Consider the following 14,601-nt stretch of genomic DNA (forward strand, 5'->3'; position numbering starts at 1 on the left):
TCCCAGATTAGTGAAATCAGAGGTACAAAATAGTGATTTCTTTTAAAAAAAGTTTCTGGCTAAGAGTCTGTAATATCAACATTTACAGGCTTAACATTAACCAGAAAAATATAATCTTCCAAAAGTTGATAAATGTAAATTATAGTAACTTATAAAATAGTGTCTTTTTTATTACCATATTCCTAGTGCCTAGAAGTGTCTTGAATAAATTTATAGTAAAGACTCAATAAATTCCCATTTAATAAATAAATGAAGCTAAATTTATAACTATGTTAGAACTTTACACCAGTGATAGAGTAATAGAGATATAATTCTTATATGTGTAGAAGACAATAATGAATACATAATTAAGTGCAGATAAAGAAATGTGGCTGTGAGATTGTCTTACTCAGATTGCATTTGAGAAAATTGCCAGCCATTCTTTGATACATTAAGAAAAACATTATGATGTATTTATTTGATTTCAGAAGCTTTTTGATAATGTGAAAGGAAATTATTTATTGCACTGGAGGAGAAGAGAAAAATTTATAGTAATGCTTTGGGAAAAGGCTCAAATATTAAGGTGACTGTAAACAGATGATTTTGGAGGAATATCAGGGATAAGGGTAAATAGGTTAACATTGGAAAATATGTCTAACTATAAGTGTTAGGAGAAAGAGGAAAAATTGAACAAAAGAAAGAAAAGGGAGAGATATAATATTAAGTTTATATGTTATATTAGTGTTTTCATTGGCAGTACCACAAGAAGCCTGACAACCAGAGGATATTCCATTAGGGAGTGAGAGGGGGACAAGAGAAAGAAAGAGACAAGGAAGGGAAAGGGAGAGGGAGAGGGAGAGAGGGAAGGGAGGGGGAGGAGAGGGGGGTTAAAAATCTAGACATCTGAAGAACTTAAACGAATACCCACTGATACAGTGAGTGGCATTTTCTGAATGTTTTTTGAAATTATGTATTTGTCAGCCACTTCTACTACTTCTTATTTATATAACATTTACAAAGGATCAAGATAGAGACTATTATAGTTTTGTCCACTATCCAGGCAGCATTTATTAACAAACTGGGTTCTGTTATCTCTATCAAGGAATATGAACACACTAAAATGATGTCTATTGAGCAGGGTGAAGTTAAAAAGATATTTTATTAGCAGGGTGTGGTGGCTCATGCCTGTAATCCAAGCACTTTGGGAGGCCAAGATGGGTGGATCACAAGGTCAGGAGTTCGAGACCACCCTGGCCAACATGGCGAAACCCCATCTCTCCTAAAAATACAAAAATTAGCCGGGCCTGGTGGCAGGCGCCTGTAGTCCCAGCTACTTGGGAGGCTGAGGCCAGGAGAATCGCTTGAACCTAGGGGCAGAGGTTGCAGTGAACCAAGATCACGCCACTGCTCTCCAGCCTGAGTGACAGAGTGAGACTCCGTCTTAAAAAAAAAATATATATATACACACACACACACACACACACATATATCAAATGTGTTTGTTATTATTTCCTTGTTGTGAATTTTAAGAGTTTTGATATAGTGCATCCTAAATCCTTGTTTAAATTAGTGTCATTATATTGCTAGACAAGTGCCAATGAAGTACAATCTATTAAGTTACCTGAGATAGGCATCTTGTTTGTTCACCTGTTTAACATTCTATCCCCAGGGCCTAGGATAGTGCTTGGAGTACAATAAGCGCTCAATATGATACATAATAGATTTTAGCCAGTAGATGGACTGACTGTGAAATCTAACCCGACATGATATATTTGAGTAATATCCTCTTTTGTAAAGTAAATGAATCAAAATATTACACACTTTCTTGGAATATTCATTTCTTCACAATAAAATGTTATAATATTTTATTGTATTTGGCTAGTAGCTTTCTCCGTTTGTCAAACTTTTAAACTTCAATTTTTGTGTGGAAATCAGAGGTTTTCAAGGTCTTTCTCCTGTTTCCTAACTGGACCAAAGTAGAACCATCAGGCACCATAAGATTCCCGGGAGTTTCCTCAAATTTCAAATGCCCCAATCCACATTGTTGTTTATCTTGAAAAATTTACCTCTGAATGTACACAGGGGAATCAAATAAATTTATCACATACCTATTTTCAGTAGAGTTTGCTGGTGATTTCTTTTTCTTTTTCTTTTTTTTAAATTAAAGTAAGCTTCTAAGTTTTAGGAAAACTGAGCAGACATTCCAGGGCTTGAGTTTGCTTCCACTTAAAAAGCATTAAATGGTATAACAAATGCAGCTCAATAGATCCAATTGTCATCCCATGCAAATAGTCAACTTACCACTTCTAAGAGTAGAGCTTAGGGAGCACTCATCTTACTAGTGCGGTCATGTTTCCTTTCTTGTTCTTTCCCCTAAAGTGTTTCTGCCTAGATCAATTTACCTTTCTCCTTGCCCAACCTGGTTTTCATGAGTATGGGTCCCTAATGTTATCATTTTCATACAAAGAGGTGGAACTTCATAGCAGTTTTTCTTGTTCATTAACTTCAAATCTATTTAAATCAAACATATTTGAACTAGATATCCAGTAATGAGAGAAAAATTATTCACTACATTCTTCATCTCCCCCCCCCCCAAATAGGTTGACCGTGGCTTTATTCAAAGTTAATAATATATCCATCTATGGCATTTATTTCAATCAAAACTTTACTCATTAAGATATTTTGTTTACAAGCCCTCTTCCCCTAAACAAAGTCTCCTTGGATTCAAATGTTTTAGATTTTTAGAAGTAGAACCTACAAATCATCTCATATTAGTTGTCTAATTAGTTGGTAGTTCAGATATTGCCCTCCCTCCTAAAATCTCAAACATGAACTCCGCAACCAAAAAGAATAGAGCCAATTTAATGCATTTTTCCTTAATTTAAGAGCTTTCTCTTTTGGTGTAGCAATCTTTTTTCCTACTTTCTTGTGTCAGCAAAATGGAAATCAATTTAAATCTCGATGATCAATATTCAGCCAGCTTGAATACTTTATTTCCGCTGTGGCCATATGCTGTTATAATATGTAGAAATGTATGAATCTAGCAAATTAAATATAAGTAAATAATGGAAGATGGGTGGCAATATGCCTGTGGATCTGCAGTCTGCAAAATAAATACTGCTGAGTTTAATGAAGAGAAATTGGAAACCCCCAAATAAGCATGTTTGAAGGTCAGATGATTTTTCTATCAAAATGTAATACAGGTATGCCACAATTATTTTGGCACCTAAGTAATCTTCAAAAACATATACTTTCAATGCAGTTACATTTCTCCTAGAAAATCATCGCGTGATTATCTTGCATCTGTTTTTCATCACCTCCTCTCCTCCCCACACTCTAAAGGTACTGACTTCCTAGACATGCGAATTACAAAATAGAATATAACATAATTTTACTAAAGAGGGAAAAAGGAACTCACCTTAAATTTTGTAGTGTTAATGTTGCTGTTTTAAAATATTTCAATAAATTTAAAGGACTGAATGAGCCATCTGAAAAGACACCACTTTAAAAAACATAAGGATTATTCTTCCAGTGTTGCTATAGTTATTGAACTCTCTCTTTAATGTAATTCTTCAGCGTGATGATGTGATACATAAATTATTCACAAAGAATGTATTTTAATCACTTCTTATCAGCATTGATATTTTCAGATGAGATCCCAAGGATAATACAGGTAAAACATAGTTTAAGCATAAATCCTATTATTGAGATTTGCTGAAAATCATTGACATTTTGTGATTGCTAAAAGCCATCATCTCTTATAACTTAACCATGTTATGATGCTGTATTTAATGGAAACTTTTAGAATTAATATTTAAGATGCTATTTTAGGTAATTAACTTCAATCAAGACTAGATAGACTAAAGCCACTTCTTTTTTCTTATTCATTCCAACCTATGAAGCGAAACTCAATTCACACAAAACCTATGGTGTGGTAAGTTAGATGATACATATATATTTTTGAATAATTCTTCAATATTATATATATTGTATCAGTATTAGTGTGCTTTCAGCTGCAAGACATGGAAAACTTTACCCCAATTGGCTTACAGAATAAGAAAATGTATGCCTTTGATACTTTAGAAGTAGGAAGGGTTTTAGGATTAGTGCAAATTTTTCATTTGTGCTGTCTTCTCTAAGTTGTTTCATTCTCAGGTCAGCTTCCCTCCCTGAAGCCAGGCTGTAAGAGTCCTGGGCATTGCAACAGCATGCCAGACTGCCAGAGAAAGAGGGGATGTCTCTTCTAGGAGTTTTCTCCTAAAAGCAAGAACATTTCTTTCCAAGCAGCTGGAATCTCACTGGCTCTCATTGGCCCTCGTGCTCATTTCTGAACTAGTCCTGTGGCTAGGGGAATGCCACAGCTGACTTGCTCAGGCCCAGTCATTGTTGCAAGAAGTTGACATTGCCTTTAAACCAACCAGGCCCAGGAAACAAGTGTTGACTGCCGTACTGAGAATGGTGGCTCAGGGTAGAGCTGGAAGTGCCATTGCTCTAAGAAGTGTCCCTTAGTGGACAACTCAAGAGTCACTAAAACCAGTATTTCTGTTTTTATGGTACAGCAGCATTTCCAAGACTTTAGATCCCTTGTAGACTACCTTCATGATTTTTCCATATCTGCCTACCACCTGTGCTATCATTAATATTTTTGGAAATGATTCACTTCTTAAAATGTAAATATTTGTTAAATAAAATCATATTAATATTTTAATTTTAAGAAACTGTATCATTTACCACAAATAGATATGCAAGGCAACCTCATTAATTCAATGAAAACAAACAGAAAACAATTTTAAAAAGTATTTAGTTAAGGCTAGTTGCTGCTGCTTGCCAAAGGCTCTTGAGCCTGAGGCTTGATTTCTGTTTGTTTAGAAAAAAAAAAAAAAAGGTTAGGGAGTAGGTAGGAGGAGTTAGCATTTTAGCATAGTTAAAAGCGTTAACAAACTGGTACTGTTCAAGGACTTCCTCAGAAGAACTGCAAGCACATTGAGTCACTTTCTGTATATGATTCGATATTATTTTTACTACCTCACTTCCTTTCCCGGGATGCACACCCCTCTAGCAAACACTTGCTGGAGGAAGCTGCCCTGTGTAAAGCGTTAGGGAGCAGACCTGGCTGTTGCCCTAGGCCAGCCTTGGAAACTGTTCAGGAATTGAGGAGTTACCATGAACCCCTACGCTCTATAACTGAATGACATGTTGGTCAGGGAATGCTCTCCCATCTGATGAACTCTCCTGATACAGGCTGGCTTGTGTTCCTCCAGAATTCATCTGTTGAAGTCCTAACCCCCAGAACCTCAGAATGTGACTGTGTTTGAAAATAGGGCCTTTGATGAAGTAATTAAGTTAAAATGAGGCCATTAGAGTGGGCCCTATGACTGGTTACCTTGTAAAAAAGAGATTAGGACACAGAGGAGAGACATGTGAAGACACAGGAGATGACAACCATCTGCAAGCCAAGAGGCCTCAGAAGAAACCAGCCTTGCTGACACCTTGATCTTGGACCTCTAGCCTCCAGAATTGTGAGAAAATGCATTTCTGTTGTTTAAGTCACATGTTCCATGGTACTTTCTTATGGCAGCCCTAGAAAACCAATACATTTCTCAAGTGGAACAACATTCAGAGATACAGATTTTGTATAAGTGCTTTGACTTGCTTCCTGAAGTATTACAGAGGCGCTAAGGCCTAGACCACATGTGGAGACCATCTGGATTTGTTTCTTTGCTGGTATGGCGATTTCTAAGATTCCTCGTGGAGATCATGCGTAGGGAGACAGCCAGTGAGTACATGTGCATTGTTTAATGACAGGATACATTCTGAGAAATGCATCGTTAGGCAAGTTCATCATGTGCAAACATCAGAGAGTGCACTTACACAAACCTAAATGGTACAGCCTACTACACACCCAGGCTATATGATATAGTCTATTGCTCCTAGCCTATAAACCTCTACACATGTACTGTACTGAATGCTGTAGGCAATTGTAACATAATAGTAAATATTTGTGTATTTAAACCTATCTAAACATAGAGAAGGTGCAGTAAAAACATGGTATAAAAGAGAAAATTGGCATACCTATTTAGGGCACTTACCGTGAATGGAATTTGCAGGACTTGAAGTTGCTCTGGGTGAGTCAGTGAGCGGTGAGTGAATGTGAAGGCCTAGAACATTACTGTATACTACTATCGGCTTTGTAAATACTGTATACTTAGGCTACACTGTTTATTTAAAAATTTCTTTCTTCAATAATAAAGTAGCCTTAGCTTACTGTGTTTTTTTTTTTATTTTATAAACTTTAAAGTTTTTTTTAGCTTTTGACTCTTTGTAATAGCTTGAAACGCAAATATATCGTACAGGCTGTACGAAAAGTTTCCTTTCTTTATATTTTTATTCCATAAACATTTTTCTATTTAAATTTTTTAATTTTAAAACATTTTTTAAAAAACTGAAACACAAACACACACACTAGTCTAGGCCTACACAGGGTCAGGATCATCAGTATGACTATCTTCCACTTCCACATCTTGTCTCACTGGAAGGTCTTCAGGGTCAATTACACACATGGAGCTGTCCTCTCCTGTGGTAACAATGCCTTCTTCTGAAATACCTCCTGAATGACCTGTCTGAGGCTGCTTTACAGTTAACTTTTTTTTTAATAAGTAGAGGGAGTAAACACTAAAATAATGATAAAGAGTATAGCATAGTAAATACATAACCCAGTAACATACTCATTTATTATCAAGAATTATGAATTGTACATGATTGCATGTATTATACTTTTCTAAGACTGGCAGCACAATAGGTTTGTTTGCATCAGCATCACCACAAACACTTGAGTAATGTGTTGCACTATGATGGTACTACAGCTACAACATCACTAGGCAGTAGGAATTTTTCAGCTCTATTATAATCTTATGGGGTCACTGTCATACATGCAGTCCATCATTGACTGAAATGTCATTATGCGGTACATGACTGTGGAAGGAACCTGTTCCAGTCAAGCAATTAAAGGCAATCCTGTGTATCATTTAAATAATCATGTACATACTTCAATGGTGGAAACAGCCCTACACTTAAATGGAGTTATAAATCTGATTGACAATATCCTCAGAGGTGTAGCTCTTGCCATAAGATGCAATTGGACCTTATTCCAAAACGATGCCCCCATAAAATCATAAAATTAGCCATAAATAAGATAATAATCAGTTAGTCTACATCAACTGAAAGCCACTATACCAGGGTACAAACTAAACACGCATGGCCCTACATGCCAGGTGGGCCTGATGCCCAGTTGGGGTACTTTGAGGGTTAGTAATTTGACTTCTGAGGGAGGCAGTAAATTTCTGTAATGGAACTGGAATCATCCCTTCTGGCATAATTCCCTCTAGCTTCTGTTATGGGTTAGATCAACAATTCAGCTGACACATTTGTCAATGACACAAATCAAATGCTTTCCTGTATTCTGTTACTTCAACCTTCTTGAAAACTGAGACAGTGCAGGACAGAAGAACATAAAAGAGATGCTACTGCAGGAACTAGATGACACAGTGATGTCAGGAAGAACCATCTGACTCAGCGCCACCCCAAGCCTAGGAGCTGTATGCCTGTGCTGTAGCCATACACATAAATCTGTAATTATTTTAGTCATTTGTCTTATTTTTTGTTGTCTGTCTCTCCTACTAGGCTACACTGGGGTCAGAAAATACACAGCTATGTTTTCCTCAGCGTCCAGCAGGGTACCTGACACGTTGTCCTTGCTCCATACATATTTTTGAAGCAATGGAACAGGAGCTAAGGGCGTAGACTATAAAACTAGAGCAGCTAGATTTGAATGTCAGCTGTAAAGCTAGAGCAGCTAGATTTGAATCGCTAGCTCCATGACCTTGGGCAAGTTATTTAACCTTTTCCTAGGCCTCAGGTTTCTCATTTGTAAAATGGCTTTAGTAATATCTACTTCATAATGTTGTTTTAAGGATTCAATGAACTACCATAGTGCCTGGCATGTAAGTGCCTAGTAAATATTATCATCATTTTAATGATTGGTTCCAAGATACAGAAAAATTGAATATGTTTAGTTGGCAGAGGATGGACTATTCAGGCAAAAGTAGATCATGCAAATCATTGGTTTTCTTACTACCTTTTTTTTTCTGTGTGCTATGTTGATTCCTATTTAAAAAAAAATCTGACCACCAAAACATGTGTTTGAAATACTCATACTACAGTAGTTATAAAATTCACAGCCTATTTTTTTAATTTTAGAATTTCAGTGTTCAAATCTGGTCAATCTATTTTATGTATAATTAACTCACAGTTTATTATGTAGGCCAATCCAGGCATTTGTTGTAAATAGTTATTATAGCATTAAAAATATTTTTTTTAAATTAAGACTATTATGCATTTAACAGCATTCCATATCTTAATCCATTAGTAAAGGCCTATCTAGGATAGTGGTATTAACATAAGTTACTACGAAAACTTCAAATTGTTACTGATTTGTATAAGCATCTAAGTAAAACACTGAAAGAAAAAGGCATGCAGTAAATATCTTTTAATCACCTGCCATCTGGAAGCTGTGTGTGTGTGTGTGTGTGTGTGTGTGTGTGTGTGTGTGTGTTTCAGAAACAGACACTACACTCTTTGCTCCTCTGAATATAAAGGGTTGTAGTTAAAGAGGGAGGCAAAGAAAACTTAAAATTCCAGTTTAGCTTTAGAGATATATGCAATGACAGCCTTTTATGGGAGAACAAATAGCTGATGGTCAAATTTCCATTTTTATTGTTATTTTTGCAAGAAAAACAAAAGTTTTTAATAATTTAGTCTTACCTAAGAGTGAAACAGTTATAAAATGGTATATTTCTATTCTTGATTATTTATCATGTTTGGGACAAAAAGTTATTTTCAAACATGATAGGGAATGCACACACACACATATATGTATACAATATACATATGCAGAATATATAATGGCCTATGTTTAGTGGAGGTTCACTGCACTCTATGAAAACTTAGAAATGTCTTTATTTTCAAATAAACCCTGTCTTTCAGATTTTTAAACTTTATATTTATTTTATATATATATATATATTTTTTTTTCTTTTTTTTTTTTTGAGACAGGGTCTCACATTGTTGCCCAGATTGGAGTGCAGTGGCATGATCTTGGCTCGACCTCGACCTCCCGGGTTTAAGCCATTCTCCCACCTCAGACTCCAGAGTAGCTGGGACTACAGGCACATGCCACCATGCCCGGGTAAATTTTTTTTGTATTTTTAGTAGAGACTGGGTTTCACCATGTTGGCCAGGCTGGCTTCCAACGGGAGAGCTAAAAGGATTTGCCCGCTGGGCCTCCCACAGTGCTGGGATTAGAGGTGTGAGCCATTGCCCCAGAATTTATTTTTATTTTTTTAGAGGTAGAGTCTCTCTCTGTTACCCAGGCTGGATGCAGTGGCAATCATAGCTCTCAGTCAACTGGAACTCCTGGGCTCAAGCGATTCTTCCACCTCAGCCTCCGAGTGGCTAGAATTATAGATGTACACCACTATGCCCTGCTAACATTTAAATTTATTTATTTTATTATTATTATTATTTGTAGAGATGGGTCTTGCTATGTTTCCCAGGCTGGTCTCCAACACCTGGCCTTAAGTATCCTCCCACCTCAGCCCCTCAGTGTACTGGGATTACAGGCCTGAGTTACTGAGCCTGTCCTCAGAATTATTTAATATAGAGTAATATTGTTTCAAGGCACTAACTTTTATTATGAGTATATTTTATTACATGCTTCTCATCACTTTTAGCTCATTTACCTGAAGCCTTGCAAAGCAATCTGTAAACAAATATTCATTGTATATACTATAAGGGAATAAAAAAAGATGATGAGATAAATTCACTCCCCAAAAGGAGTTTACAATCTAATTAGGAAATAAAACATCCACCTGAACCAAGCAGTAACTATATGGACAAGACAGGATTTTATACACATTTTTAAAATCACATTTTATTCTGATTTATACAAAGGTTTGGCATCCTCTACTCTTTCTCTAAGAGACAATTAAAGTTACAGGAAGAAGAAATTCACGTGTGTATTTTTCATCTTGCATTACTCATGGCTGGATCTGGGTGAATGATTGTATGTCTTACAAGAGCAGATTGTGTCACAGACATACACATTAAGTAAAAAGATTATTCTGCTAGAAGGGAGTGAGAGGAGAGCTAGATTAAATACGATCGTTCTTCTCTTCTTGAATTGTGTTCTTTTTTACAGATAATAAAGACTAAAAAATACTGTGTTAGGTCTGTTTATTGATGCAACTTAAGCCTAAGTTTCCACTTATTCTTTTTATATACAATCTGTATATATTGTATTATGTCTCCGATGAATTAAAAAATTAACAAAAAATTCCGTGTTTTGAAAATCAATATAAAAATCCAAAAAAATCTATACCATGGCAATAAACCTACATATGCTATACTTCTGATCTAGTTTTTTAGTCTTCTCTGCAAAATAGTGAGGATGGCACCTACCTATTTTCTCTGCTCAGAGAGAATATGGAGAGGTTTTTTCTCTGCCTGTTCATCACATTCTTTAGAGCCCCTGGTATAGTGCAAAACCTGGAGATTTAGTTGAGTAGGTGTGTGAATTTACCATGTTCCTCAGGAAACAATGGAAAAGCATTAAGTTAGAGTGGCTTGCTATCCCCACTATTATGTGGAATACCTAAACTATAACTGGGGACACAGGTGGCTACATAATTTTCACAAAGGGAGCATACTGTTATGCTATTTCACTTCTTGAGTTCCTTTTGTTTTCCGTAAATGATACAGAAGGTCAACATTGTATACTACTAGACTGCAGAAGAAGAATTTACAAGGACTATAAGCTGAAAGCAGTGTATATGCAAAAATAAATCAGTTTTGCACTCTTTAGTTTGCCTTGATTTTCATTGCCACTAAATAACCAAATTTATTAGATAACAACTATTAGAAATTATATATATATATATAAAGACCGGGTCTTGCTTGTTCTGTTGCCCAGGCTAGAGTGCAATGGCACAGCCACGTCTCACTGCAGCCTCAACCTCCTGGGTTCAACAGATCTTAAAGTATTGGGATTACAGGTGTGAACCACCACACCTGACCAAACATGTTTTACTTTTGTGGTTAGAATAAAAGGCAGTTGATCTCCCTTTATTTTTTAAGTAAAATCTTTTATTAATGACAATTGTAGTTTTTTTTAAAAAAAACTGGAAAACACCTCAGTTCTCTTACACTTTGTAGAAGAACATGTGTATTATAATTATACAGGTTTTTTTTTTAGTAAACCAGTGCGAGTCTTTTGTGTCTAAAGCTTTGTCTGACTAAGGGTAACCAGTAACACAGGTGTGCTAGGAAGAGAAAACCATCTGTTTCTCTTGGGGCGGAAATGGATTTTAAAAGTCTATCTCCATTTACTGGAAAGCTAGAAGAAAATGAATACCTTTCCTACAATCCAGCGTTACCTTCTGTTGTTATTTTCAGTGAACATCTCTTTAGAAAACTACCAACAATATTTACAAAGTTTTAGAAATACAAGTTTGATTCAGGCTTGAGTCTCAAAGTTTACTTGCTGAAAGGGTATTAATTAGTAGCTGAGATTAAAGTGGAAACAGCCATAAACATTAAGTTCTTTTCAGAAATCCCTACTTACTATGATTAAAGCTTTGTTTTGTGCTAGAAAGATTTGGGACTCTCTTGAGTCTGGAATGGAGAAAATCTCTGCCTATCCTACCTGCTATATTTCCTTCTGCATAAAGTGAGAATCACACTGGAGTACTTAATAAATAAGTTGGTAATACCTCATAAAAGTGCTGTTTTTGATCTTTAAAAGGGCCACAGTTGAACCCCTGTGAAAATAAGAGAAAAGAAAAAAGGGGAGGGGGCACAGAGTAGCAATACTGATGTCCTTCAATAGGTAAATGGATAAACTAACTGTGGTACATTCATGCAAAGATAAAAGGAAATGAGCTACAAAGTCATGAAAAGAGATGGGGGAAATTTAACTGCAGATTGCTTAAATACATGTCTTAAATACACATCTAAAAAAGCTACATACTGTGCTTCCAACTACATGAAAAGGCAAAACTATGAAGACAGTAAAAAACAAACAAACAAACAAAAAACAGTTGTTGCCAAGGGTTTGAGGCGGGAGTGAGTAAGGGAGGAAGGAAGGAATAGGTGGAGTACAGGGGATTTTTAGGGCAATAATACTGATCTCTATGATGCTGTAATGGTGGATACATGTCATTATACATTTGTCAAGCCCATAGACTGTACAACACAAAAAGGTGAACCCAGTCATAAACTGTAGACTTTAGTTAATAATAATGTATCAATACTGGCTCACTAAATGTACCACACTAACGCTAGATGCTAATGACAGAAGAAACTGTAGAGGGTAGGGAGACGGAGTGAGGACAGGGAGTATATGGGAATTCTGTACTTTCCACTCATATTTTCTGTAAACGTAAAACTGCTCTAAGACAAAGTTTATTAATTAAAAACAAACAAATGAAAAGGCCATTAATGGCTACTGTGTGAACACCTGATCATCAGAGAGCTCTGATGGAGTCTGTAGCCTTGCTCTTACAGGCACTGCCAGACCTGGGCTGGGGCTTTGTGTCCTTCAGTATACAGCAATATACAGTACACATGAGTTGCACAGTCATGAAAAAATTACATTGGGTATTTTACTGTGTGTATGAAAGCTATTAATTTTTACCATATTAGAATGTTTTGGTCTCAAACCATATATGATGGAAAATTTTCACACAGAGTTCCTTTAAAAATGTCTGAAATTCGCATAGTTTTTGCATGTCTAATTCCATTTGGCACCTGCTCCTTTGAGGGCAAGAACAGAAAAATCATCCAACCTTTAATGTGGTCAATTTTATCCTTTGAAGCACAATCCTGTTGAAAATCTGTAAAACTTAACACCTATACTTATGTGAATTAAACTCTGATATTTATTAATTACAAAACTTTTTGTGAATATAATTACATATTCTGCAATTTTTTTAATTTGGGGGGAATATCAACTTGTTTTTGGTTTGTCATATAGTGCCCAAGTAGACATTGGATCTTTAGAACTGATGTGTTTCTCACTTTCCCTCTCACTGATAGGATGAAAAAAAGCATAAGGGAGATTTCAGTAAAACACAGATAGCATAGGTGAACATCTTTGTTTTCTCATTTATGTGCCACGAGGCTACCTTAATTCTTCCTATATGAAAGCAAATTCCCTTAATAATAAAAATATATTTTAAAGGTTTTTTAATTTTTAATTTTGAAATAATTATAGACTCACAACAAGTTATAAAAATAGTACAGGTAAGGCATGGTGGTTCACACCTGTAATCCCAGCATTTTGGGAGGCAGAGGTGGGTAGATCACTTCAGCCCAGAAGTTCAAGACCAGGCTATGCAACATGTGAGACCCCATCTCTGCAAAAAAAAAAAAAAAAAAAAAGCAAAAGCCTGGTATGGTGGCATGCACCTGTAATCCTGCTTACTCGGGAGACTGAGGTGGAAGAATTGTTTGAGTCCTGGAGGTTGAGGCTGCAGTGAACCAAGATTGTGTCACTGCAGTCCAGCCTGGACAACAGAGTAAGACCTGTCTCTAAATAAATAAATAATAAAAATAGTACAGAGAGGTACTATGCATTGTCCATCCAGCTTCTCCCAATGATAGCAAATATTAACATGATTAACAGATTTTTCATACACAACAAAATATTTCCAGTCAATGACCATATTGTTTTTAATTAAGCAGATTACATATTTTTCAATAATTTCAACAGCCCTCTAGACAAATTCACTTTAGTCATCTAGTGAGATTTAACTAATATGGTGGCTCTTTAGCATGCCTTAGAATCAGCTGCAGGCACATTAAACCAGAGGTTACTGGGTTCCTCCTCCAGAATTTCAGATTCAATAGGTTTAGGGTGGAGAACCAGAGGCTGCAGTTCTAATAGGTTCCCAGGTGATGCCAATGATAGTGGCCTGGGAACCACACCTTGAAAACAAAAGAATGAAAACCACATAATCTATGGCTGATTTCATGTTTTTAGAATGTAAGCTTAAGAAAGTCAGAACGAACTTGAAAGTGAAAACACAACTAGTGAAACTAGACATTTTATTATCTCTAAATGAGTAGCAGAAGAGGTTTGGGAACAACCGAGTCTGGCCAAAGTACAAAGGTTGTATCTTCAATGAAATTAAATTACTAGAAAGAAATTGTGACAATGAAAGCTAAAACTTAATCAGTGGAATTGCTCTCTGTCTGAAGAAAATAGGTATTTATAGGGAGGGAATGATCTGTATGGATTTTTGGAAAAAGAACATCTTCCAAAGTAAAATTTGTGGTTATTCAGCATTACTCAGAAAAGGGAGCACATTGACGAAGTGATATGAATAATCAACCTGGACTGAGTGGTCATGCATGTAACCAGACTTGGTGAGACTAATCATTGAGAGCATTTATCTCTTTAATTGTTACATTTGATTTGCATGTAAGAGTTGCACTTACTTGTTCTTTTTCTGGCAAACTTCTGATACACTTGGAAATTATGTATTTTTTTCTTGAGACCAGGGTCTT

At 36.0% G+C, this 14,601-nt stretch overlaps 1 annotated feature.

The window, feature by feature from the left end:
- Nucleotides 14,122–14,231: a silencer, noted in NCBI's record as "silent region_16274". NCBI's record gives its function as "represses an Ori minimal core promoter by ATAC-STARR-seq in GM12878 lymphoblastoid cells {active_cell/tissue: GM12878}" and the evidence as "EXISTENCE:reporter gene assay evidence [ECO:0000049][PMID:35858748]".

The sequence above is a fragment of the Homo sapiens genome, chromosome 5 (genome assembly GCF_000001405.40).
Source record: "Homo sapiens chromosome 5, GRCh38.p14 Primary Assembly".
NCBI lineage: Eukaryota > Metazoa > Chordata > Mammalia > Primates > Hominidae > Homo > Homo sapiens.